This window comes from Homo sapiens, chromosome 10 (genome assembly GCF_000001405.40).
Source record: "Homo sapiens chromosome 10, GRCh38.p14 Primary Assembly".
Classification (NCBI taxonomy): domain Eukaryota; kingdom Metazoa; phylum Chordata; class Mammalia; order Primates; family Hominidae; genus Homo; species Homo sapiens.
The window spans coordinates 29713229-29739739 of NC_000010.11; the positions used below are offsets into that span (position 1 = coordinate 29713229).

At 44.1% G+C, this 26511-nt stretch overlaps 1 protein-coding gene across 3 annotated transcripts in view, besides 6 other annotated features; it reads right to left on the reverse strand.

The window, feature by feature from the left end:
• The window catches only part of SVIL (supervillin), a 279599-nt gene extending 255891 nt beyond the window's left edge, over nucleotides 1-23708 (reverse strand). The window contains exon 1 of one of the 3 annotated variants that reach the window (NM_001323599.2): nucleotides 23457-23708. The gene's annotated coding sequence lies outside the window, so the exon portion shown is untranslated. Of the gene's footprint in view, nucleotides 1-22522; nucleotides 22697-23456 lie in introns of those variants that run through there. The other 2 variants (NM_001323600.1, NM_003174.3) reach the window with 2 other exon arrangements.
• Nucleotides 22158-22297: a silencer, noted in NCBI's record as "silent region_2260". NCBI's record gives its function as "represses an Ori minimal core promoter by ATAC-STARR-seq in GM12878 lymphoblastoid cells {active_cell/tissue: GM12878}" and the evidence as "EXISTENCE:reporter gene assay evidence [ECO:0000049][PMID:35858748]".
• Nucleotides 22158-22837: a biological region, named in NCBI's record as "H3K27ac hESC enhancer GRCh37_chr10:30024395-30024895".
• Nucleotides 22238-22738: an enhancer, noted in NCBI's record as "H3K27ac hESC enhancer chr10:30024395-30024895 (GRCh37/hg19 assembly coordinates)". NCBI's record gives its function as "activates a minimal SCP1, AML or CMV promoter by ChIP-STARR-seq in naive H9 embryonic stem cells {active_cell/tissue: H9 hESC(naive)}" and the evidence as "EXISTENCE:reporter gene assay evidence [ECO:0000049][PMID:30033119]".
• Nucleotides 22408-22597: a silencer, noted in NCBI's record as "silent region_2261". NCBI's record gives its function as "represses an Ori minimal core promoter by ATAC-STARR-seq in GM12878 lymphoblastoid cells {active_cell/tissue: GM12878}" and the evidence as "EXISTENCE:reporter gene assay evidence [ECO:0000049][PMID:35858748]".
• Nucleotides 22608-22837: a silencer, noted in NCBI's record as "silent region_2262". NCBI's record gives its function as "represses an Ori minimal core promoter by ATAC-STARR-seq in GM12878 lymphoblastoid cells {active_cell/tissue: GM12878}" and the evidence as "EXISTENCE:reporter gene assay evidence [ECO:0000049][PMID:35858748]".
• Nucleotides 23092-23386: a silencer, noted in NCBI's record as "tiled region #9997; HepG2 Repressive DNase matched - State 4:PromP, and K562 Repressive non-DNase unmatched - State 8:EnhW". NCBI's record gives its function as "represses a minimal TATA promoter and a strong SV40 promoter by Sharpr-MPRA in HepG2 and K562 cells {active_cell/tissue: HepG2 | K562}" and the evidence as "EXISTENCE:reporter gene assay evidence [ECO:0000049][PMID:27701403]".

The window sequence follows — 26511 nt, forward strand, 5'->3', positions numbered from 1 at the left end:
TGTACTGATAAAACTAAGAAGTTGTACATGCCTCTGTGTGTGTGTGTGTGTGTGTGTGTGTGCATGTGAACGTGGTCTATCAAACAGAGGCAACCCAAAGCACATACATCAGAAACGGCTGAGTGAGGAGTTATACAACTATTAGTAATAACCACTAAAATAATTTTAACAGGAACCATTAAAAATGTGTTGCTTCTGGAACAAAGCTATTGCTTTTCATTTACAGCATTCCTCCACGATCTGATTTTTTCAGCCATGTTCATGAATCACTTTGAAAATAATCCTGTGTGTAGGAGTCAGCAAATTTTTTTTTTCTGTAAATAACCAGATGGTAAATATATTTTTGGCAGTATGGGCCATACAGGTCTCTGTCACAACTCTGCAACTTGGCTATTCTGGGGCAAATAGACAATTCATAAATGAATGAGTGTAGCTGTGTTCCAATAAAACTTTATTTACACAACAGGTGGCAAGAGGGATTTGGCCTGCAGGCTGCTATTTGCCGACCACTGATCTATTCCAGCATTTCCCAAACTATGTACTACAGGATACTCCAATATACTTGAAGCTTTTCCTCCAAAAGAGGGAGAGTTTCCAGTTCAAAGAGTTTAGAAAATGCTAGGTTTAAAAATGTTAAGCAGATTTCTTTACTTCAAGGCTTCTTGCAGTCTCTAATGTGCTTATGAGCTTTTGGAAGCCAAATATGGAATAGAATTCAGCACACAGCATTTCTCCAATTTCCATGGATATACTGGAGAAGCACCCAATCAATGATATCTCAAGGGCCACTAGTGTTGGGTGGGAAGGCTTGGGAAGCAATGTCATCATCTAATTCCTACCTTGTATAGACAGAAAAATGAGGTTTAGAGAGTGGGAAGTTACTTGGCTGAGGCTACTCACCTAGACGGTGTCAGAACTGGGACTGGAACCCAGGCAGCTTAGGGTTGTTGCTGCCATTTCAGAGGGCCATTCCTTCATTTAGATGGCCCCATAACAAACCAGTGCAAAGCTATCCTGAGTCATCTCCATCCCGAGGGATTTTCCGGAAGGCACTTTGAAATTACATAACGACATAGATGAACCAATACTTAAACCTCAAAAAAGGCGAAGACTATGGGTTCAGATTTTATTATTTTATTTAGAAACAACATGAGGTGAGGTGAACTGATTGGACACATTCACCACGAGTCTTTCCTAATTTCTAATACAAGGTGGAGCAATAGAAAAAAATAGAAAATAAGGAGAACAAAGTCTTTTTCTCAACTTTTTTAGGATTCTAGACTATACTATTCAGTGTTACTAAAGCACACTTTGTATTTTATGAATCATCAGTGATGAGTAAGTACAGATTAAGCTCTATCTGAACATGCAGCAGTGTACAAAGCACAGAGCAAGAGTTTTGGAGATAAAAGAAAGTTTAGGAGGATCAGAGACAAAAGAAAAAGGCTTGGCCGGGCGTGGTGACTCATGCCTGTAATCCCAGCTCTTTGGGATGCTGAGGTGGGAGGATCGCTTGAGCTCAGGAGTTCAAGACCAGCCTTGGGAACATGGTGAGAGCCCATCTCTACAAAATAATTAAAAATTAGCTGGGCATGGTGGCACACAGCTGTGGTCCCAGCTACTCAGGAGGCTGAGGTGGGAGGGTCACTTGAGCCTAGGAGGTTGAGACTGCACCACTGCACTCCTGCCTGGGTAACAAAGAAAGACCTTGTCTGAAATTAAAAAAAAAAAAAAAAAAAGAAGAAAAAGAAAAGAAAAAAGAGAAGGAAGGAAGGAAGAAAAAGACTTGAGAAACCTAAGATCTAAGTAAACACCCCTAATATTTTGTGAAGGCAGTACAAAAATATGAACCAAAGCAATATAACTCTAAACAAAGAAAACGGTCAGAATATAAATTGAACTTTAAACAAAAAAAGAGGAGGAGTTTAATCAGGGTCCAGGCAAGGTGAGTATATCCACTCTGAAAATAACATCTTGGTTCATAAGTTGGTTTCTGAATTCTAGAATGCTTTATATCATTATTTTGTATTCAACACACAAACCACCCATTCCATTTTCTTCATATTTTTCAGGTGTCATTTCATAGCCTATGATGATTAATTGAGATGGATTTTTGAAAACCTTCCTAGCCAACTTAGCTAAGGGACAGCTTTCCCCTAACACTCTCGTGATTGGTGTGAAAATGAAACCTGCTCCTTCCAGAACAATGAGAATGCTACCTCTGCCGACAACATTCCCATCCAACTAAGATCAAGCCAGATTGCTCTTGAGTCATTGGTTAGTAACCCATGGGAAGAGGAAGAGTAGCTGCAGTTGACCTATAAACTCTGCCTTGGCCTTGTCCCAAGCTAATCCCTATTACATCCCACAGACTGTCCCTGGAGTCAGAAGTTGTCCCCAGACTTGTCCTAATGGCCTAGCACAGTGGGAAGTTGTCCAAGAGTCATGGTCATCAAGAGACCTTCAGAGACCACTTAATTGTACAAGACTTTATTTGCCAAACTCCTAAAATTCCTGAGTGCCATGGGACAAGGCAAGGAAGATGTAGTTGCTGGGCAAGAAAAGTGAGCAACCATCTAGTTATTGATACAAGGTTCCTAGGTTCAAATGCAAGTAGCCCCTGGCCTGTGCTGTCCAATACAAGAACCAATGGGCACACATGGCTACTTAAGTTGGTGAGTGCAACTGAGGAACTGAATGTCAACTTTTAATTAATTTCACATGATTTTATTTAAATGTAAAAACTGAAGCAATGTAAAACATGTTCCATTAAACATTAATGCATTGCTTTGGTAGAACTACATTTTACTTTAAATACTATATTGCTTAAAATATTATTTGGTGCATTGTAGCAGATGAGTCTACAAAGGAAAGCATCACTGATCTACTTGGTGTCAATAAAGTGTTTCCATTTAAATGTTTTTTTCTAAACACTGATGTAACACTGTAATGTGTTCATATGAATATTTTACACAGACAGCACAAGTTATGGTGATAACTATGTAAATCATAATTGGTAATTATATCAAAATACTTGTTTTAATTAAGATATAATTACATTGTTTCTCTAGTTTATAAAATAAATATGGCCAATTTTTCTAATTTATCACTTTGAAAATTTTGTAGCAGTCCTAACACAGAGACACTTTCCAAAGCCTTAGGACTGATACAAAATCCAGTGGAGACACAGAAATTAATAATACAATCAGAACAGTCAAGAAAAAAAGAGACAGGAGAGGAAGGTAAGCAAAAAGCAACATAATCAATGGCAATTATAACTTGCTGTGGCAGAGCAAAAGGAGAAAGCTGTGTGTTACATAAAAAGTCAAAGATAATAAAGCAGAAAATATTAACAGACAATTTCAGCAAAAACATAATGAATTTGATGCCATCTCCCCTCGACAGTCAAAAACAGATCAATGAAATTAGTCACTCAAAATAAGAATGGCCAAAAAAATTGTTTTAATGATTTTTTACATCTCAGCTCATAACTCTGGCCAGTTATAAAACATCTTGGATTCTTGAAGCAGTTTATGGAACTGCTGAAAGAAATAGAAAACCAGAAATGATTGATCATGTGTTCTTTGCCAATGATCTCTGGTTGAATCATAGAAGAATTTTTACAAACATTCACTGTACAGTTAACTACAATGCAGGATTTTCTTTACAAAAAAAGAATGCTTGCTGAAGCAAGAAATGAAGACAAAAATAGGCACTGTGGGCTGGGAGCCGTGGCTCACGCCTGTAATCCCAGCACTTTGGGAGGCCAAGGCGGGTGGATCACAAGGTCAGAGATCGAGACCATCCTGGCTAACATGGTGAAACTCTGTCTACTAAAAATGCAAAAAACAAAAATTAGCCGGGCGTGGTGGGGGGCCCCTGTGGTCCCAGCTACTCGGGAGGCTGAGGCAGGAGAATGGCGTGAACCCGGGAGGCGGAGCTTGCAGTGAGCCGAGATCACGCCACTGCACTCAAGCCTGGGCGACAGAGCAAGACTCTCTCTCAAAAAAAAAAAAAAAAAAAAAAAAAAAAAAAAATAGGCAGTGTGATTTATGTTTTTTTTCACAGATATCACACACTATATATGAAAGAGCTAAATTTAAAGTTTCAAGGAAAGGAAAAACTTACTTATGACCTAGCTAGAGAGGCAGGAGAATTTATGTCAAAATTGACATTTTTCATAAGAGAAGTAAAAAATAATGGTTTCATACATTTTTGTAACTTGAATCAATATGTGGATGACTTCACTGAAATCAAAAGCATTATATAAATTGCCTTCAAAATCCATAAGAAAATGTTGGGGAATACTTTGTTGATATTGATAAATTTAGAGTTAGTTTTTCCATTTTTGCAATATTCCTTTGAATTTAATGTCAACAATTCTGAGCTGGCATAAGAGTTAGTGAATTTGCCTAAGTTGAACAGATGTAGCTTTGAAACTGATATTTTTTGTTTCAAAAAGTCAAATTAATTATTCTAAAAAAGATGAACCAGTTTTGTCAAGTTGAATGCGAATATCGTGGAGAATGATTTTTTGATGCTGAGTTCAGTTGCTGGAGAACTTGTATATTTGGGGTTTGGTTAACAAATATACTTTTTCAACTATAAATTTTATAAAAGCTAAATATAGACCAAGTATTTCAGATAAAAATGTAGTATCTGATAGCTATAACATACATATCAAATTTTAAGACTTACTATAAAATTTAAGAAAAAATGTCTCATTAATATTTTTACATTGATTACATGTTGAAATAACATTTTGGGTAGACTGAGTTAAAGAAAATATATAATTAAATTAATTTCACCTGTTTCGTGGCCAGGCGCAGTGGCTCACACCTGTAATCCCAGCACTTTGGGAGGCCGAGGCGGGTGGATCATGAGGTCAGGAGATGGAGACCATCCTGGCTAACATGGTGAAATCCCGTTTCTACTAAAAATACAAAAATTAGCCAGGCGTGGTGGCACATCGCTGTAGATCCAGCTGCTCGGGAGGCTGAGGCAGGAGAATCGCTTGAACCCAGGAGGTGGAGGTTGCAGTGAGCCGAGATCGCGCCACTGCACTCCAGCCTGGGCAACAGAGCAAGACTCCGTCTCAAAAAAAAAAAAAATTCGCCTGTTTCTTTTTAATTTTCTTAATGCGATTACTAGGAAATGTAAAATTACATATGTGGTTTACATTACATATCTGTTGAATATCTAGGGACCCTGGCTACTCGAAGTAGTCTTTCCAGAGCATTGACAGCATCTAAAAGTTTCTTAGAAATGTAGAGTCTCAGACCCTAGCAAAAACCTACTGAACAGAATCTGAATTTTCAGATTCTAGGCAATATGACCGCCCTAGGTTATCACCCAGCAGACTCCCAGAGCCGAGAATCTGGGGTAGACCCAGGCCATTAGAATTTGCAGGACCAAGTACCAAATAGGAGAGAACTACACAGAGAAGTCCAGAGATTTATCTTTGAGTAGTCAGTGCATGTTTCTGAGCAAACTACATGTGCCTGAGGGGGTGGGGGAACACTAGAAAAGATTGGAGATAACAGTGTCTGGTACTGATGCAAAACAGTGTCTGTTTCCACCTGATAGAATGGAAAAACTCAGCCAGCCATGGTGGCTCATGCTTGTAATCCCAGCACTTTGGGAGGCCGAGGTGGGCAGTTTACCTGAGGTCGAGAGTTTAAGACCAGCCTGGCCAACATGGTGAAACCCTGTCTCTACTAAAAATACAAAAATTAGCCAGGCATGGTAGAAAGTGCCTGTCATCCCAGCTACTTGGGAGGCTGGCAGGAGAATTGCTTAAACCCAGGAGGTGGAGGTTGCGGTGAGCTGAGATCGTGCCACTGCACTCCAGCCTGGATGACAGAGTGTGACTCTGTCTCAAAACAAACAAACAAAAAGAATGGAAAAACTCATAATTCACAAGCACTGGGTACTCAGAAAGATGTTGCTTAACCCATTTATGCTGGAGGTTGCAAATTTTTTGTGTGTGAGAAATCAGACCTTGGTGATGACCTTAAGCAATAGGATATAAATAACTCCCACAAGCTTAGTGTTCCAATTATGGAACACTCGGTATAAACGGGTTAAGAAATAATTATCCCTGTCTAATTAGCACTGCTCCTACCTAATAAATCTTGAAAGTAAGACAAAAGAATCAACTGTCTCCAAGTAATTTATCTACATCCCAAAACAAAGCTCAACAATATTTCCATCCCCCCAGAAGATAACATTGCAATGTCTGGCATCCTGTCAAAAATTACCAGGCATGCAAAAAGGCAGGAAAATACAACCCACAACGAGGAGCAATGTCAATCAACTGAAACTGACCAAGAGTTAAGAAAGGTATTAGAATTAGCAGACAAGGACAAATATTCAAGATTTTAGGCAGAGATATGAATATATAAAAACACAAATCAAATTTCTAGAAATAATATCTACAATGTGCGAGATGAACAGTAGACTGGATAGGATTAATAGCAGGTAGACATTTCAGAAGAAAAGACTATTGAACTTGAAGACATAGCAATAGAAATATCCAAAATGAAAAACAGAAAAGAAAGTTTAAAAAAAATGAACAAAGCATGAGTGAGCTGTGGAGACAACTTTAAGCAGCCTAAACACATGTAATTGGATTCCACATGGGGGGCACAGAGGGATAGAAAATGATATTTAAAGAAATAATGGCTGAAAAATTATGCCAAACCTAATAAAAATATAAACCCAAAGATCCAAGGAGCTCATTTAATTCCAAGCACAAGAAATATAAACTAACGTATATCAAAGCACATTGCAAATTGCTTAAAACCAGGAACAAACAAAACATCTTAAAAGCAGCTGGGCGTGGTGGCATGTGCCTGTAGTCCCAGTTGCTCGGGAGGCTGAGGCAGGAAGACTGAGCCCAAGAGTTTGAGGCTACAGTGGGCTATGACTGCACCACTGCACTCTGCCCTGGATGACACAGTGAGACTTCACTTTTTAAAAAATAAAAATACTAAATGCAATTAGAAAAAAAGGACATATCACATAAACAAAAGAAGGTAAGAATGATAGCAGATTTTATGTCAAAAGCAAGGCAAGTGTAAAATAGTGAAGCAAAATCTTTCATAAACTAAGAAGAAAAAATTGTCAATCTATAATTCTATACCCAGCAAAAATAGCTTCCAAAAATAAAACTGTAGCTCCAATTATACAACTAGTTAGCACATGGTACTTATAAAAATAAAGGCAAAATAAGGATTTATCAGACATATAAAAATGGAATGAATTCATCACCAGAAGTCCTACATAACAAAAAATGCTAAAGTAAATTATTTTAAGTAGAAAAAATAATCAGGTAGAAATATGGATATACACAAAGGAATAAAGAACAGTGGAAATAGTTACTACCTGGGTAAATACATAAGAGCTTTCTCCTTATTATTTAAGCTTTTAAAAGAGAAGTGACTTCTCAAACAATAATAACTTATATGGAGTTAATCACATATGTAAAAGTAAACTGTACAACAATACAAAGGCCAAGATGGAAGTATCCTATTGTAATGTTCTTATATGATATGTGAAGTGATATAATATCACTTAAAGGTAGACTATGATAACTTAAAGATGTATACTCTAAATAGTTTGTTGGTTTGTTTTTTGAGACACAGTCTTGCTCTGTGCCCAGGCTGGAGTGTAGTGGTGTGATCTCGTCTCACTGCAACCTCTGCCTCCTGGATTCAGGTGATTCTCATGCCTCGGCCTCCTGAGTAGCTGGGACTACAGGCATGTGCCACCACAACCCACTAATTTTTGTATTTTTAGAAGAGATGGGGTTTTTGCCATGTTGGCCAGGTTGGTCTCAAACTCCTGGCCTCAAGCAATCCACCCGCCTCAGCCTCCCAAAGTGCTAAGATTACAAGTGTGAGCCCCTATGCCCAGATTATACTGTAAATCTTAAAGCAACCACAAAATAACAAAACAAAGACATATAGCTAATTAGCCAACAAAGGAGACAAATGGAATCATTACAAAAACAAACAAACAAACAAACAAAAAAACACCTCAATCCAAAAGAAGGCAGAGAAACCAGGGAAAAGGGAATAAAGAATAGACAAGATACATAGAACACATACAGTAAGATGACAGATTTAAAATTACTATATTGATAGTTACATTAAACGTAAGTAATCTAAATATACCAATTAAAAGACTAATTTTCATATTGGGGAAAAAAGATACAACTGTATACTGCCTACAAAAAAAAAGCACTTTAAATAAAGCCACAAAAGGGTTAAAAGGATGGAAAAAGTTATACTATGCTAACACCAATCCAAAAAAAAAAAAGCTGAAGTGGCTTTATAAATAACAAGTAGAATTTACAGCAAAGAATATCAGCTGGTCTAAAGAAGGTCATTTCATAATGATAAAGTCACCAGTTCTTCAAGGGGACATAAGGATCCTAAGGGTTTATTCACCTTAATAATAGCTATGCATCCAAATACATGAAGCAAAAACTGACAGAACTGCACAAGGAAACAGACAAATTTACAAAGCCACATATTTCAATACTGCTGGGGATCCCTGCTTTATACTAATAAGCAGTCCATATCCATGTTGACTTGTGGCAAAGTTTTATTTTGACATCTTACTGGTATCATCGTAACTAGTGCTATTTTGTCTGGCTTGCAGGCTAACCAGGAGTTAGAGAAGAAGGCATTTTCAGGAAAGCTAACCTTAAAAATAAATCAGGCCGGGTGCTGGTGGCTCACGCTTATAATCTCAGCACTTTGGGAGGCCGAGGCAGGCGGATGACCTTTGGTCAGGAGTTCGAGACCAGCTTGGCCAACATAGCAGAACCCTGTCTCTGCTAAAAATACAAAAATTAGCCAGACGTGGTGGTGCGCATCTGTAATTCCAGCTACTGGGGAGGCTGAGGCCAGAGAATCGTTTGAACCCAGGAGGTGGAGGTTGCAGTGACTGCACTCCAGCCTGGGTGACAGAGTGAGACTCTGTCTTAAAAAAAAAAAAAAAAAGAAAGAAAGAAAAGAAAGAAAAAAAACTGCATCAGCAAGTACGAGTTTTTAAAATGCAAAAATTTCCCAAATTTCTACTGAAAAGATTTATCTGGGAGTAATAAAAAAGTGAGAGTTTGAGAAACTTATGCAAGACCATATCAAAAAGCCCTAGAAGTTAAGAAATTTTGGCTTAACATTGACCCAAACTTTCTTCCAAAAAGCTAGGTTAAGAAAACATGGCAATATTATACCTCAATACAACTGTTTAAAGAAAAAGAACGAAAGAAAGAAAACAAGAGTAATGGTCATTTTCCAGGTTTTGCGAACTAGAATCCTTTCCAATTCAGCACCAAACCGGCCTTTGGAAGTTGTGCACATTTAAAAATAAAAACCTGGTGTTTTCAGGAGTTGGGTACAGATTTATTTGTACAATAAACATTTTTAGCAAAAAGCAGGCAGATGCTTGAATTCTAGCCTCTAAATCCAATGTAGGGGCACTAAAAACTCCAACCCTAATTGGACAGTTTTGTTCTTAAAATTCTACTGCATGAGCTTTCAAGCTGAGTTCCAGAATCCACTGTTACACACACATAGGACCTCCATGGTGACATCACTGCCGTTTACTTATTGGCTGGGAAGTGAATGTGACCCTGGAATCAGAAGATCTTGATTTAAATCTCAATCCTGTCACTCCTAGATACATGACTCTGGCCAATCATTTTTCCTCTCAAGCCTTGATGTTGCTCATCTGTGAAATGGGAGTAATACTACCTACTTCACGTGGTACTTGTGATTAAATGACATTAGATAAGTGAAAATCCCGGCAGACTGCCCTGTACATAAAAGTCCTCCATAAATATTTATAAATGTAGGCGTGGTGGCTCATGCCTATAATCTCAACACTTTGAAAGGCTGAGGCAGAAGGATTGGCTGAGCCCAGGAATTTGAGACCAGCCTGAGCAATATAGTGAGACCTTGTCTCTTCAAAAAATTAGCCAGCCACTGGCCAAAAAGTTAAAAAACAAAAAATTAAAAATGTATCTCAGTTACTGGGAGGCTAAGATGAAAGGATTACTTGAGCCCAGGAGGCAGAGGTTGCAGTGAGCTGGGATCGTGCTATTGCACTCTAGCCTGGGTTACGGAGTGAGATCCTGTCTCAAAAACATAAAAAATAAATGTATAACTAAGCATCACTTAAATTTAAACTGTGATTATTCATGACAAGTCACTTTCTAGTACTTGAACTGAAACTTTCGGTATTCACTGTTAAGAAGGCATTACTCTTAGCAACAACTGTTTGTCCCACCAGACTATGAACAATGCTTCAGGGAATAATAATAATTATTATTATATAATAGGAGGAGGAAAATGAGGAAGAAGAAGGAATATCTTGAGAGAGGAAACTTCTCTCTTACTATGAAATCTATTCTTTTCATCTTTTAAATAGTCATTCTCCTATTTACCTATACTTGGTGATGGTAACTAATTCAGTAAGCCTACAATTAATGGAGGCAACTTTCCTTGTTTCTGCAACTCATGAACTCTCCCTAGTTGTCCCTAGAATCAAAAATTGTGGGAAAACCATTGAGAACATATGAAAAAATGAAACAAAAGCCATTGTTGGGTAACTACAAGCAATGCGTGTGAATTTGGCAACCAAACAAGATAAAAAGTTTGGAGGAGAAAAAGGGTTGGGTGAAGATTATGCAAACACAGCACTTAACTTTTCAAAACCAACTTCTAGCTGAAATGGAAAATAATGGAGAAGACATTGTGTTTAGAGAGACTTGGGTATGGGGCAAGGGAAGTATGAACGGGTTTATAAATTGTAGAACTACCAAGTTCTGCAAACAGATAAAGGATGCTACTATTTGAACCTAGAACCAGTATCTGTGCTCAAAATGAAAGTGAGTTTTCCACAATAAGCTTGCAGTTTCTTCTGAGTTTTTTGTTTTCTCTCTTTTTTTTTTTTTCAAGAAGCCTAAATACAAGACATGGAACCAATTTGTTCATGGAAAAACATAAACTGCTTTCACTGCCTGCTATAACTAACTTGTGACTTCTTCCAACACTGTGAGAAGCAAGTGTATAGAAAAAAAAAAGAGCCATGCAATGAAAGCTTTTCATTCTTTTTTTATGAGGATTTAAAACACACACACACACACACACACACACATACACACAGATGTTGGGTTTATACAAATAATCAACCAAAACATCTTCCAACCATGTAATTTTCTTCTCAAGCATATAATATGATTTTTCTTTTTCCTGGAAACTCAGTGTCAGGATATATGATGGTGACTATTTTTTAAAAAATAATTGGATAATTCTGGGGTCAGAATGAAAAAAAATATATAAATCCTATTTCAAAGTCTAATACCGAATTCATTTTTAGGAAGTGGATGGACATCATCTAACACTGGTTGAAGTAAGCTGTCTCTTCATTTGAGTTCATGTTCTATCAATTTTTCCAGGAAGTTCTTAGCCTTATTTTTGGACTTAAAAACTGATGAGCAGCTGGGCAAGGTGGCTCACGCCTGTAATCCCGGCACTTTGGGAGGCTGAGGTGGGTGGATCGCTTGAAGTCAGGAGTTCGAGACCAGCCTGGTCAACATGGTGAAACCCCGTCTCCACCAAAAATACAAAAATTAGCTGGGTGTGGTGGCACATGCCTGTAATCCCAGCTACTCAGGAGGCTGAGGCATGAGAATCACTTGAAGGTTCTCTGCAGGAGGCAGAGGTTGCGGTGAGCCAAGATCATGTCACTGCACTCCAGCCTGGGCTACAGAGTGAGACCCGGTCTCAAAAAAAAAAAAAAAAAAAAAAAAAGCATGCATGCTCACCTCTAAATTTCTAAATTTTCAGGGTGGAATTTCCTCATTATGGCACACAGTTCAGGGTCAGAGGTCCGTCTTTCTACTTGCCTGCTATCAAGAGCAGGAAACAGGACAGGCACAGCCCTAAGGCAGAGCATGCTTATCAAAGTTTCTCCTAGAGCCTCAGGGTGATTCATCCTGCAGAGGACCGCTCTTGTGTCCTCAAGGGTTCCTTTTGGAAAAGGGCAGGATCTCGTGTCCCCTTTGAGCCTCTCCTTCCCTTCAAGAGTGATAGGTTTCCTCCAATCTGTCCAGCCAGTATTCTTCAGGTCATAACTGGGTCTTATCAGAACCACAGAGCCTTGCAATCCTTAAAAGGCAGGAAAGGGGAGATAAGAGCAGTGTAACCAGCAGGCTGCTGAAGTGAGGATGAGATTTCCGAGAGCCTGTATTCATGCACACAGATGTGTCCTAGCAGGCAGGCTTCCCCTCCACGAGGGGTTCATTTAAAGAACAGATCCTAAAGAGGAAGTGACTCTCCCCTTCTGCAGGCCTGAAATAGAGCTGCTTGCCTCACCAAGCACCATTGAGGGGATCAAGGCAGAAACCAGAGGCTGCTGGTTGCGATGCACAGCACTGAGAAAGGAGGCAGAGGGCTCTGGGGCTCAGTCAGGCTGATGGCCAGTTTCCGCAACGCTCAGCAGAGGGAAAAGAAAGCCTCTTTAGAAACAGAGTTGGCAAAACATTGAATATGAAGAATACTCAGAGAAAATGCATAATTACAGACACTGAGGAACCGTCTAGACTAGATCCCCATGGTACATCCTTTATAGGAGAGAGTGGGGCTAGGGCTAACTCCTCACCTACATCCTTTTTTAAAAAATAAAAAAATTATTTTAGAAACAAGGTCTTGCTCTGTGGCCCAGGCTGGAGTGCAGTGGTGCAATCATAGCTCACTACAGCCTCGACATCATGGGCTTATGTGATCCTCCCACTTCAGCCACCCAAGTATCTAGGACTACAGGTGTGTGCCACCATGCATGACTAATTTTTAAATTTTTTGTAGAGATGGGGTCTTACTAAGTTGCCCAGGCTGGTCTCAAACTCCTGAGCTCAAGTGATCCTCCTGCCTCAGCCTCCCAACATGCTGGGATTACAGGCATGCACCACTGCACCTGGCCCCCACATATATCTTTTATATCAAATGGCTCTCCAGGCTTCCTATTCCTTCTTTATGTGCAGAGATAGGGATGGTTAGAGGAGGAAAAGTAAACCTAGGAAGCTACTGATACATCCTGTCATTTATGGCAAAAGCTTTAGGACCTTGGATCTGAATCCAAACCCAGACTCTACTACTTATTGTCATACCTCATTTGAGGTACTTAACCTATCAAGGCTTCCACTTAAAAAGCTGTGCTAACTGTGGCCGGGCACGGTGGCTCATGCCTGCAATCCCAGCACTTTGGGAGGCCGAGGCGGGCGGATCACTTGAGGTCAGGAGTTCGAGACCAGACTGGCCAACATGATGAAACCCCGCCTCTACTAAAAATACAAAAATTAGCCAGCTGTGGTGGCAGGTGCCTGTAATCCCAGCTACTCGGGAGGCTGAGGCAGGAGAATGGCTTGAACTCGGGAGGTGGAGGTTGCGGTGAGCCAAGATCACGCTGCTGCACTCTGGCCTGGGAGATAAAGAAAGACTCTAACTCAAAAAAAAAAGTGCTAATTAAAATAAGAACAGCATGTCAAGCCCTCAAAGCCCTCAGCACAGGGCCTGGCAAACAGTGGACAGTCAACAGATGATGCTACCAGTGGCAGCACCGCCATCATGGCATCCCCTCATGTCTCCATGACATCTAGAATGTGCTTCCATCACAACACCTATGCTTGTTTATTTACAAATGTATCCGCCACTGTAAGCTCCGTGAAGGCAGGATTCACTCTATATTCTCAATAACAAGCATTAAATGGGTACACACATCCACGTGCACAAGCATACACACACACACCACGTGGTTATCAAATGTTAGCTGAACAAAGGAAAGACAAAATCAGCAGTTTGATTACTTTTACTTCTTGTTTCTATACAATTCTAATTTCAAGGACCTTTCTTCAGATGCTAATAATAACATAATAATATAGGTGGATAACTTGACTAGGTTAACTGAAGTTGATGGTTACATCAAGATTCTATGTCCAGTAACACCAATTAAAGAAGATTGCTGAAACAAAGATTCCTTGGTCTGTGTGCTCCAGTCTGTACTAACATTAGCTGGAGTATAGTGGTGTGATCATAGCTCACTGTGGCCTCGAACTCCTGGGCTCAAGGAATTCTGCCTCCTCAGCCTCCCAAGTAGCTGGGACTATAAGTGGGGACCTCCACACCAGCTAATTAAAAAAAAAAAATTATAGAGAAATGTTGTCCGGGCTGGACTCAAACTCCCTGGGTGCCATGAGTCCAACCATTATTCATCTTTACAGATTCCTCAGGCCGGTCAAACTGTAAACACGCAACAGAAGCTTTGCAGAATTACATGCAATAGCCAAACCACCTGGGATAAGTAACACTGCTACTGGGGCAAGAAAATTGTGCTCCCTTTTAATTGGGAAATTAAAGTACCAGACTATTTCGGCATGGGTAAACATCTTTTCACTTATTGCAGAACTTAGAGAAAGGAGAAATGTGAATTAAGTCGTGAACACAAAAAAAAAAAAAAAAGAAAAAGTCACAAAAAGAGCAATATTTTTATATTTTTGCAGGGAACAAGTGCCAGGTGGGAGGGCTCTGGGTGCACTGCAAACAGTGCTAGACCCCCTGGCTGCTCAGGACCAACGGTAGCCTGCAGCTCTACCTCAAGGCAGGGCGAGAACCTCCAACTACCATCCTACTCTATTACCAACCCTGAGTAAACCTTTATGTTCACAGCTTTGGGGGAAAAGTAAAGATTCCTTAATCAAGTCAATCTGTCAAGGATTTCCTAATACCTACTCTCTGGTATATTCTCATGGACAGAGGATCATAAGTAGAAAGCATCCCTAGCGAGGCTTTTGATCAAAAGGGTCTAGCACAGTCTTAATATGACCAATCATTCATGACTTACACCCACCCTGGACTGGCCACAAAGCACAAACTCCCTTCCAAGATTTTCCAGAAATATGATTTGAAAAAGAAAAAAAAAGCCAACGTGAATTCTGCTGTGTGTATGTACAATTTCCATTTGCAAGGGAAAGGTTATCCAAAACAAGCTTATGTTTCAGTTACTTTCAAGGTACTGCCACGGGCAAGGAAAGCCAAAATAAATTTCAAACAATTTTCCCCAAAGTTCAGACCTTTTCAAAACCAGTTTCAAAACTGGTATTTCCAAGTTGCAGTTCCAAAGAACCCTTTTTAAAAGCAGAAATTTCCTGTACATAAAAACTTTGATAGGGTATTCAATATCATTATTATACTAAACAAAGGTGACAGCCAAATGAGATTGACTCAGAACAAAGGGAGAAGGGTTTGCAAATTGTTAAGAAGAAAAAAATGAAAGGGAAAGGAATGCAAGCATCAAGAAGCACTGTCAAAAAGGGGGAGGAAGGAAAGGAAGGAAGGGAAAAAGAGTAGAGCAGCCTTGGATAGAAACAAAGCCATGTATTGGAAACCCTGGGAAACTGCAGACACAAAAGGTGAGCTAGCAGCATGGAGGAGCTGAACGGGCAGCTGAATTGGCCAGAGGAAAGCTGAAAGAAGTAATCAGAAAGGATCGCAAGGGGGAAACTTACCCCAAGTCAAAGAGCAGGCTGGGGAGTGGAGGGAAAGCAATTAAACACCAATGACAGATGGAGATAAGGACGTCCAAGGCAAATGTGTCCCTAAGACACTTGAAACCCAGGCCTGCCGGGAGGTGGCTGGGCGACAGCAACAGACCAGGAACAGGAGGGGCAGAATGTCAAAGAGGGAAACAAACAAAGGGTCCTAGAAGGAGGAGAAAGCTGCCAAAGTCTGGGGGTGAGGGGCGGTGTTAGGATGTTTGTGGGGAGTGGTACTATGGCTGCATAAGGAATACTAGAGAAGTCCTGAGCAAAGGAGGTCCCCCTCCCCAACTAAGCTCATCACCTTCTTCCTCCTAAGGGAAATGGCTCTTATTTCTAACCCCAAGGACCATGATGTTGGGGGGACAACATAGTCACCACTATCAAGGGGAACTGGATCATTTTCCAACAGTACCCCTGTGGAAAAAGAGGAAACAGGCTAACTTTGACCGCCCACCTATATCTGACATCCATCAAGAATTTTGTAGCATCCCAAGACATTAAGCAGGAGGAAAAAGTTTGATGGTATAAAGGTGAAGTCATCTTCTGAAAGGAGCTGGGCTGGGTGAAAAAGGATAGTGGGTACAGTAGCCATGCTGGGCCTCTGTGTTTATGGAGGTGTGTGTGTGTGTGTGTGTGTGTGTGTGTGTGTGTGTGTGTGTGTATGTATGTGGTGTGTGTAGCAAGACAGAGGGATGTATGTGTTTAAAAGTTGGCAATTGGCCGGGTGCGGTGGCTCACACCTGTAATCCCAGCACTTTGGGAGGCCGAGGTGGGCAGATCATGAGGTCAGGAGTTCAAGACCAGCCTGGCCAACATAGTGAAACCCCATCTCTACTAAAAACACAAAAAGTAGCTGGGTGTGGTGGCACGCACCTGTAGTTCCAGCTACTTGGGAGGCTGAGGCGGGAGAACCGCTTGAACCCAGGAGGCAGAGGTTGCAGTGAGCCGAGATTGCACCGTTGCACTCCAGCCTGGGTGGCAGAGTGAGACTCCATCTCAAAAAAAAAAAAAAAAAAAAAAAAAAAGGTGGCAATTGCTCTTGAGAGACAAGACTTAGAAACGTAACATGATGGCTGGGCACTGTTTCTCTCACCTATAATCCCAGCATTTAGAGAGGCTGAGGCAGAAGGATCACTTGAGCCCAGGGAGCTCGAGACCAGCCTGGGCAACATTTCTCTATAATTTTTTTTAAATTAGCTGGGCGTGGTGGTGCACACCTGTAGTCCCAGCTACTTGGGAGGCTGAGGAGGGAGGATTCCTTGAGCCCAGGAGTTCAAGGCTGTAGTAAGCTATGATCACACCGCTGTACTCCAGCCTGGGCAACAGAGCAAGACCCTGTCTCTAAAAAAGAAAAAAGTAAAAGAAGAATAAGATGCTAAGAGAACTGTAATGTGCAAAGAAATGTACTAAGGAAGGGAGATTTATCCCAGTGAAAGTCCTGGGTGAAAAACCCAGTGAGGATCACTGAAGTCAGGGCATGTACAATGAAGCTGTAGAAGAAGATGAGACTCAACCTCCAGCTTCGTATAAGTTGACCCTTCCAGTCAGAGGGGAGTGTTGAATTTTCAATCAGGAGATCTTAGTTCTAATCTTAGCGCAGGCAAGGTTCTCAACCGTGGAGCCTCAGTTTCCTCATCTCCAAGATGGAAACCCTGGGTCACCAGCCCTAAGAACCCAACGGGGTTCTTGAGCATCTCAAGTGAAAACGTCAGTAAACCAAGTGAAAACTGAAAGACTGTAAACATCTGTTATTACTGCACAAAAGGGATGAAGTAAGAGATACATGAATGTGTAAATGGAGGCCAGAAGTGGATTAAGGGCTTAGAATTGTGGGTGCAACTCAGCAACCGTGAATCATCAGGGGATCTGAAGCAACAGCAGTTTCCAGTACAAGGAACCCCTAAGATTTCGAGGAGATTTGGAGTCAGAGGGTTTTATACATGCCCAAGCAATTATGGCTTATTTTACAACCTTTTATAGAACAAAGGCGATTGAAACTCACTGAATATCCCAAAAAGGATTGTGATTGATGCTGGAGCTACTAGAGGGCCATTTATTCACAATTCACAATAATTAGGAAGGCAAGATGTTTTGGGGTGCTGGCCAGGAACTGGGAGACAAGCAGGCCTAGGTAGAGGCACAATACGAAATCTTTTTTAAGGACATGTACGTAAAATTTGATAAACCATATAACGCCTCTTCTATCTTCCTGTACCCAAGATTCTGCTCCTCGATTCTTACTGGCACATCAACTTGCTACTCTGGCTTTATTTGAGCTGACATGATTACAACACTGTTCTGAAAACAAAAAGGTGCTGCCTCTGCTCTAGCCCTCATACTTGAAGTATTTGTTTACGTCTGTTGTTTCTGAACTGCGAGTCCATCCAGGGCTGGGCCCAACCCTTATTCATCTTTATAGGTTTCCCAGGCCTGTCACACTATAAACACTCAACAGAAGATTTGCTGAATTAAATCCACTAGCCATACCACCTTGGATAAGCAACAACTTCTTATAAACTGAAGTTTTCTCATTGATTAAACAAAGGATGTGGGCAAGGTACCCTCCAGCTCCAACAAATGCAAAAACAACAGAATGTTCTGAAAACACAAAAGCACTGTCTGGAGACACATTGTAACTTTTATGCATTTCATGCAATAGAAAAATGTATAGAATTAAATCTGATTCATATGTCAATTTTTAAATAAACACTTATTTTTAGGTATTAGATCCATTCCTTTGTTAGGCAATGAAATATAAAAGCAGCCTAAGGTTTTACATATGGAAAAACTATACATGCCGGTTACCCTAAAATAACATTTATTTGGATTAAAAAAAAATGTTAATTCTGACATTTCCTTTTAAACCGCCTCCCCTGACAGACTATATCTGGAATAACATTGACATAACAGAAACAAGTAAGTCTCTTTACAATGACTACAGTTTAACAAAGGCGCCTGTCTTTTTACCTTCCTTGTTTACTGAACAAAGGCAGCAAATGTAAGTACAGTTGCCCCAGCAGCTGGCAAGTTCTCTCCCATATGCGAAGAAGTTGTGGAACAGCTGGGGAATGCAAGATGCTTTTGAACAAGCTGCTATGTGATCCAAAATAACGCCGCCTGTTCATCTTCCGTACAATGGAAGCGACGGCCCAGCGCAGGTCTGGCGCATGCCCTGCAGCGGCTTCTTTCTTTCCAGATGGAGTGCAACAAGTGGCTACAAATGGAGTGAAATGCACAAAAGCAGGGATCTTGCTCCTAACTCTTTACACGCCTCCAATTGGTTATGCACGCAGCTCATTTTCCAGTGTGGGAGAAGCTGCATATCATATCCAGATGTAAAACCTACATAATGACAATCCCTCTCTGTCCTCCTGTCCATGCACTTTCTTGAAGATAATGTTCATGGTAACTACACATCGGGTGGTGTATAATGACATTATAACGTTTCTTTATGTTGCTTTAGTCCATATCAATTGTTTAAAAGAGCAAAACCCAAATCAAGAGGTATAAAATAGCAAAAAATGATCAGATGTATTATAAGAAATTATATCCATTATATATACTATATACATATAGATACAATATACGATTTTATATTTCTTGCATGTATATACAATATAGAGTATATTTGCTCATTTGAAAAACTTTCAAGTTTTTTTAACATATGAAATAGCTATACTGGTTGCTCATTAATTGTTCAGTTTAACTGACCTATGCTTCATGCTGTCATCTAAAAGTTAGTTTAGCAATTTTCAGATCATACATAGTTGACCATGTTTAAGGAAATATTTTTGAAATGTTATGTCTCAAACTCTCCTTCCTCTTCTATCAACTTGGTGGTTCACCTTTAAACAGACTATCAGAAAATACTACATTTTCCAAGGAAATGGTCCCTCTTCCCAGGATTAGGCCAGCACCATTTTCACAGAAGCAGATACATTTCTTTAGTGCCATTGATGGCTAGTGAATGAGAAAGGAGAATACATATTTCCTTTTCACCAGTTCATTTGGTTTGGGTTTTTGTTTTTTTTTTTTTAATTCCTACCATCTTGGCCATTAGAATACTGGGCTTTAAATTTAAGAGAAAGGGAAATGGCTGAAAGGCCCACCACAAAATTACACAGTGGCAAAACCAGGAGAAAAGCTCTACAGTTCTGGAGCTCCTTGTAAACTCCTTGGGCGACTGGACCAAGTTTTCCATCACTACCAACCTTTCCCTAGCCCCAACTTGCTGAGAGAAGGAGGAATCACTAACTGTACTATATTGCCATATTCACTAAGAACAGTCAGTTCAGGGCAACTAAGAACTACTTTACCTCTCTGGATGAGGGGAGGAAGGGAAGGATTCTGTTCTTAAACATCATCATTATTAGTTAACATTTGTTGAATAGCAACTATGTGCTAGGCACTGTGCCGAGTATCTCATGAATTATCTAATTTAGTCCTCATGGTTTGAAACCAGGAGGCACTATTATTATTCCTAGCTTGTTTTGTTTAGTTTTTTTACAGACAGCTGTCTAGCTCTGTTGCCCAGGCTGGAGTGCAGTGATGCGATCATAGCTCACTGCAGGCTCGAACTCTTGGGCTCAAGCGATCCTCCCACCTCAGCATCCCAAGTAGCTAAGACCACAGGTAATTTTTAAATATTTTGTAGAAACAGGGTCTCACTATGTTGTCCAGGCTGGTCTCAAACTCCTGGCCCCAAGCCATCCTCCCACCTCGGCCTCCCAAAGCCTTGGTACTACATGTGTGAGGCACGGCACCTGGCCTTTGATTTATGTTTTAAGAGAAGAAAGTGAAGCTCAGAGGCTAGGCAAATTGTCCAAGGCTGCAGACCTCTAAATGGTGAAGGCAGCAACCGAACCCAGCCATTCTTCCCAGACTTTCCAGGCTTGCCCTCATCAGCGTGCCTGGCTGCCTCTACCTAGGACGTTCCAAGTCCCTGACTGTCACGCCAGAGTTGCAAACATCTTTCTTGAAGGCAATACATTTTAAGTACATTCAGGACAATGCCAAAGTCCTATTTTGTAAACTTGAGCTCAAATGTTGTATAAAAGTTGTGGATACAACCATATCCTTGGATCCCTCAAAGAAATTCTGAGGTTTTAACTTATCAGTCAGTAAGGTGGGCCATTATTTCCAAAGCATACTTCACTCAATTTTAAACGCACATTCAGCACAGTGGCAAAGTCACACACAGCTTAAACAAGGTGGGAACTGCAGCTCCTTGCAAAAGAAAAGGCAAACAGAGCTCCGTGCTGTGTAGAATTCCTGACTCCAGGCCCACCTGCCTGATGAAACACTGCAAAAAGCAAAGGACAGCTATTTCCACCTCTCTTTGGAACTGTCATAATTCTAAAGGTTTGGGGAGGAAACCTTAGTTCTCTTCATATACATTAAGTTTTAAATATGAGTTGGTTTAGCTATGGCACTGGCATTAACACAAGCCAGAGATAGGTGGAAAGTCCATCAAGCCCTATAGCCTAGCATAATCAAACCTGAACCCCGGGGTACAGCACACACCCAGCAGTCCATAAAGCGCTCTTCAGTAACCGACTTTGTCAAAAATAAAAAAATAACCTGGAAGAATAAACAGTCCTCTTTGGAACAGGGCAGACTCTTGGATCTGTTAACCTCTTTAAGCCTCAGTTTCCTCATCTGTGAAACAGAAATAACCTCCTGGGAAGAGGTTGTAAGGTTTAAAGAGAAAATGAAGAGCCTTCCACATTGTGTAGGGGAGAGTCCCTGGTCCATTAGCCCTTCATAAAAACCAGTGCCTGCCCTTTCCTTCCAACAGAAGAAGGGGGTGGAGGCAGATAAGACAAGACACGAAAACGTGAATTCCATCGATTGACTGCGAGGGGCTAGGGTTCACAGCAAGCAGAACGTCCTGGGTTTCTCTTCAATACCACCTCCTCCTCTCCTGTTCAGATGCTGAGAAACATCTGGCGCAGTAGAGATGCTGCCTCTGACATTTCTATGACAAAACGCGTGCCTGTGCTAGGGTTTGCACAGGCACAAGTTATCACAACCTCGGGATGGGGCTGGGGATGGCGGACAGGAGCTCCTTTAATTTCCCCAGCTGGCCTCTCCCCTTGTGAGGAACTTCTCATTGCAATAAACTGTCAGACTTCACAAGATCTCTCATGCCAACGCCTGAAGCTCTTAATCCCGCACCTGACCCAGATTGCGGCCTGGACTGGAGCCTCCCCGCCGCTCACTCACTGTAATGCAATTACCGCCTTCTGGAGCTCCACTCGGGGTGCCAGGGACTGCTGGCTGTCACCCGGGGACTAAACCACTCCCTTCGGGGAGCCCGCACGCGCGCAGAAACGTGGGCAGCTGGGGTGGCCTGGCGCACCACGCATCGGGTTCAAACCCGCGCGGGCCCTGCGGAGGCGCCGGTCTGGGACCCCGGGCTGGGGCGCGGGAGCCACCGCAGCTCCGGCCACTTGCGGCTGGTGTCGGGAAAGGAACCGGGCGATGTCGTAGTTCTGATCACTGGCGCGCCACTCCCCGGGCCACCCGCCTCCCCGCCATGCTCTCAGCGTAACGGGCAGCCGCGCTAACTTCCCGAAACTCCGCGGAGAGAAACCCTGCCCCGGCCCGCTCCTCCCCGAGGCGCGCTCCGGGGACGGAAGTGGGTGGGAGCCGCGGCCGCGCCGCGCCTTTGTTACGGCTCGGGGACCCCGCGGGCCGAGCGCAGCGCCCCGTCGCAGCGGCCCGGGCACCCGCCGGCCTCCACCCCCGGGAGGCGCCCCCGTTCCCGCTTCGGTCCCCGGCAGGGCCTCCCGCAGCCAGAGCGAGACTGACCCGCGCCTCCCGCCCCGGAGCAGAGCGCAGCGGCGCGTCCTGGCGTCTGCCGGCCCCGGCTCCGCGCGCCCCTCGGCCACCGCGCGGAGGGACTTTGCTCACCTACCCGGCTCTTCCACACCTCCCGGTGGCAGGATCGCCGCTTCCCGCCGACAGCGGCTCGGCGGCCCCGACTTCTCAGCAGCGCCGCGGCCACGCCCCGCCTCGTTCCCACCGCGCGGGGAGCGGGTCCCCGCTCGGGATGATTCACTTCGCTCCTTACCTGGAGGCTCGCGCGTCCCCACCCCTTGCGACCCGCGCGGCGGCCGGGAGCTGGCGCCCTCTGCTGGGCCACCAGGCGGGAGCACCCTCGGACTGGGCAAGGATCGGGCGGAGAGGGTGGGGACACAGAGGGGGGCCAAGCACAAGCACCCCTGCCTCTCTCAACGCGGGCACCCCTTCCCAAAACAGGGGCCAGTGCGCGGGGACCACGCTGGGACGACTCTCGGGGGAAGCACCAGAGCTGTCCCCACGCCCCAGGACACGAACTCGCGCCCGGAGCCGACCCCCTCCACGGCCAGCGGGTCCAGCCGCGTCCTCGGAGGTGGCCCAAGGAAACCGCGATGAATCGGCATAAGCACGTCCTATCTTAAAACACCGGAAAGGCAGATTTTACTTTGTTTGGAAACTAAGTTTGTGTCCTGTGTCTCAGTAGCTCTCAGGGTGGTGGCAGTCACGCCCCCCCGGTCCCAGGGCTGGGAAGATGCTTGGGCTAGCCCCCGCTGCAGCCCCGGAGATGCGGGGCTTTAGGATCCCAGGGGCTGGAGGCCAGGGCCGCCCTATCGCTCTCCCGGCCGGGGGTGTGGCTGTCCAACTCGCTCTGTCGCCCGAGTGAACTCTTCCAGCAGGTTGGCCTCTCAGGCTGTCCCCTGAGGACCTGAGCGAAACTCTGGAGGGGACCAGGAAGAAGGGAGAGAGGACATCTCCGAGACCTTCCCGGGGGTGCGCCCACACTCACGCGCCCACACTCGCGTCCCCACCTTCCCCCCCGTCTCACCTCCGCGCGCTCCTGCAGAGCCCGACTGCGCCCGCCCTCCTCGCCCACCTGCCGGGCCCGGGCCGGGGGTGCACACTAGCGCGGGGCCTTGGTGGTGCGGCACCGTCCCCTGCCCAAGCTGGCTCTCGAGGAGGTGTGGGCCCCGGGAAAGTCGGCCAGGGCCACTGTCGCCGTCGCCGCCGGAGCAGAGCCAGTGGCGAGCTCGTCAGGGCGGACCGGGCGCCTCCGTCCCCGAGAGCCGGCGCGCGAGTCCCGGCCAGCGGGCAGGCGCCCGGTATTAATTGTAGGGCCCCCGGGTGTCGGCCGCCAGGCGCTCTGAGTGGCTCGGACCGCGCGCCAGGCCGGCGGGGCCGGCGCCACCCACCCCCTCGGCGCGCGCCCGGCCCAGGGACGCGCCCACGCGCACGCGCCCAGCGGCTCAGGGCTCCCTGGCTCTCACCGGCTCTGCTGCCCGGAGGCAGCCGCTTACCCTGGAGCCCTGAGAGGCCCCTTTGAGTCTCCAGACCTTCCAGGGATAAATAAAATCTGGCGACCTGTGCCAACGCTGTGGGCCAGTTGCAAAGGAGACCGTCCTTGCTGGCCACGCGCACCTGTGAAAAAGTCGCGGGACCCCCCAATCCCCTCCACCTGGACCGAACCCTGCCTCGGTGGTTCTCGCACTTTAGCTACACCAGAGTCCTCCAACGTTTGTGAAAACACCATGACTGCCCCTCTTCGTGCCCCCTCCAGTGTCTGATTCTGTAAGACTTCTGTGGGGCCCGAGAATTTGCACTTCGAACAGATTCCCAGGTGATGCTGAGGCAGCCGCGAAGATTGAGAGTTAGGGCTTGTAAAAGTGCTTGGTAAACGGCAGAACAGTAGATAAGTAGATAAATTTCAACCTGTTAAGTATGTTACTTGTCTGTTTCAGTAGGTAGAGGTAGTTGTGCTCCTCTGAGTGTTAGACTACTTTATGTTTCCTCCTGAATATGCACCATCAGACAAAAAAGAAAAGCGAGTGTTTTTGTTTGCTCTAAAAGACCACAGATTGGGTGGCCTAAGCAACAGAAATTGATTTTCTCACAGTCTTGGAGTCTGGAAGACTGTTCTGGAGATCAAGATGTGGTCAGGGTTGGTTTCTTCTGAGGCCAGTCTCCTAGGCTTGTAAATGGCTTTTTGTGGCGTCTTCACAAGGCCTTCCCTCTGTGTCTGTGTCTTAATCTTTTCTCCTAAAGACACTATATGACTTCATTTTAACTTAATCACCCCTTTAAAGACCCTGTCTCCAATTGCATGCCTTTTTTTTTTCTGAGACAGAGTCTTGCTCTGTCACCAAGATGTGTGTCACCTACATCACATTTTTAAGTAGTGAGGGTTAGGACCTCAACATATGAATTGGGATTGGGGGAGCGGGGAGGGTGCACAATTCAGTCCATAACTGTGAGCTCCATTGCTCCTAAGATGCTAGAATAAAAATTGGACTTCAGGGCCGGGCGCGGTGGCTCACGTCTGTAATCCCAGCACTTTGGGAGGCTGAGGCGGGTGGATCACGAGGTCAGGAGATCGAGACCATCCTGGCTAACATGGTGAAACCCTGTCTCTACTAAAAATACAAAAAATTAGCCGGTCGAGGTGGCGGGCGCCTGAAGTCCCAGCTACTCGGGAGGCTGAGGCAAGAGAATGGCGTGAACCCGGAAGGTGGAGCTTGCAGTGAGCAGAGATCGCGCCACTGCACTCGAGCCTGGGCGACAGAGTGAGACTCCTTCTCAAAAAAAAAAAAAAAAAGAAAAGAAAAGAAAAGTTGGACTTCAGCCTCCCCTATCCCCTACTCCATCTCATGCCCTCCACGACAAGCTGACCTGTGGACTCACACATTGTCAAGTGCTGTGAAGGGAAGCTGGGAGGATTGAAAATGCAGTAAGGAAACAGCCCTCTCAACTCGATTTGTGGTCACAGCAGTAGCAGCGACACTCCAGTGTGGAAAAGAATATAGGGGATCTATCAGGAATTTGAGACCCTTTACCAGCAAACATTTCAGAACCGGCCTCTTAGCCTTTGTTAGCGATTCAATCCAGAGTCACCCTTGCCCAGTCTGCCCTCTGCCTACTCCCCATGTCATTGTCATCCCCCATGGGCTCCATAATTAGAGACTGTGGTGAATAAATATGCCTAAGACGCCTCATTCCGCCTGCCATCTATGGGAGCTCTGACACATTTACAGCTGGGGTAGACAGGAAGGATGTGAGGATGAGGACTTCGATGCTGACCCCACACTACCTAGAGACATCTGAAAAAAGTCATCTTCCACAAATTGGTCATTGCCCCAAATTAAGCGCACTTACTGATCCTACTTTGTAACTTTTCTTTGTGGCTTCATCCAACCCTTGATTTATTCTTTTTTTTTTTTTTTTTTTTTTCGAGACAGGATTTCACCATGTTAGCCAGGCTGGTCTCGAACTCCTGGCCTCAAGTAATCCGCCCGCCTTGGCCTCCCCAAGTGCTGGGATTATAGGCATGAGCCACTGTGCCCAGCTGAACCCTTGACTTCTTAACACCAAGCCAGGCCCTCCCCAAGCTCCAGATCCAGTGGCTGCTGGATCACCACAGACACTCCAAGCACAGTAATGTGTGGCCATAATTGAACTCTTCCCCACACTTTGTTTTCCCTGTATTACCCATCTGAGTGGATGGCACCAGCTCCACCATAGTCGTGCCTGCTAGAAACCCGGGCATCATCTGAGAGAAGACCCTCTGCCACACCCTTTACACCTCACCAGCTTCAATTGGTTTCATACAGCGTCCCTGATGCCTCCCAGAGGCCTCCTTCTTTCCCACTCCCACCACTATTGCCTCAGTCCAGGCCCTTCTACTATTTCCCCTCTGGCTTTTGACGCCAGCCTCCTGATCCCTGCTCCAGCCTGGCTTCTGAGCCAGCATCCCCCACACCATATCTTCAGTGATCTTTCAAAAACAGAAACCTGATGACCCTGCAGGCCTTCTTAAACTCTCTCAATGGATTCCCTGGATGTTCCAGGAGAAATACGCAAGCTCCGTGGCCCATCTCTGGCTATGGCCT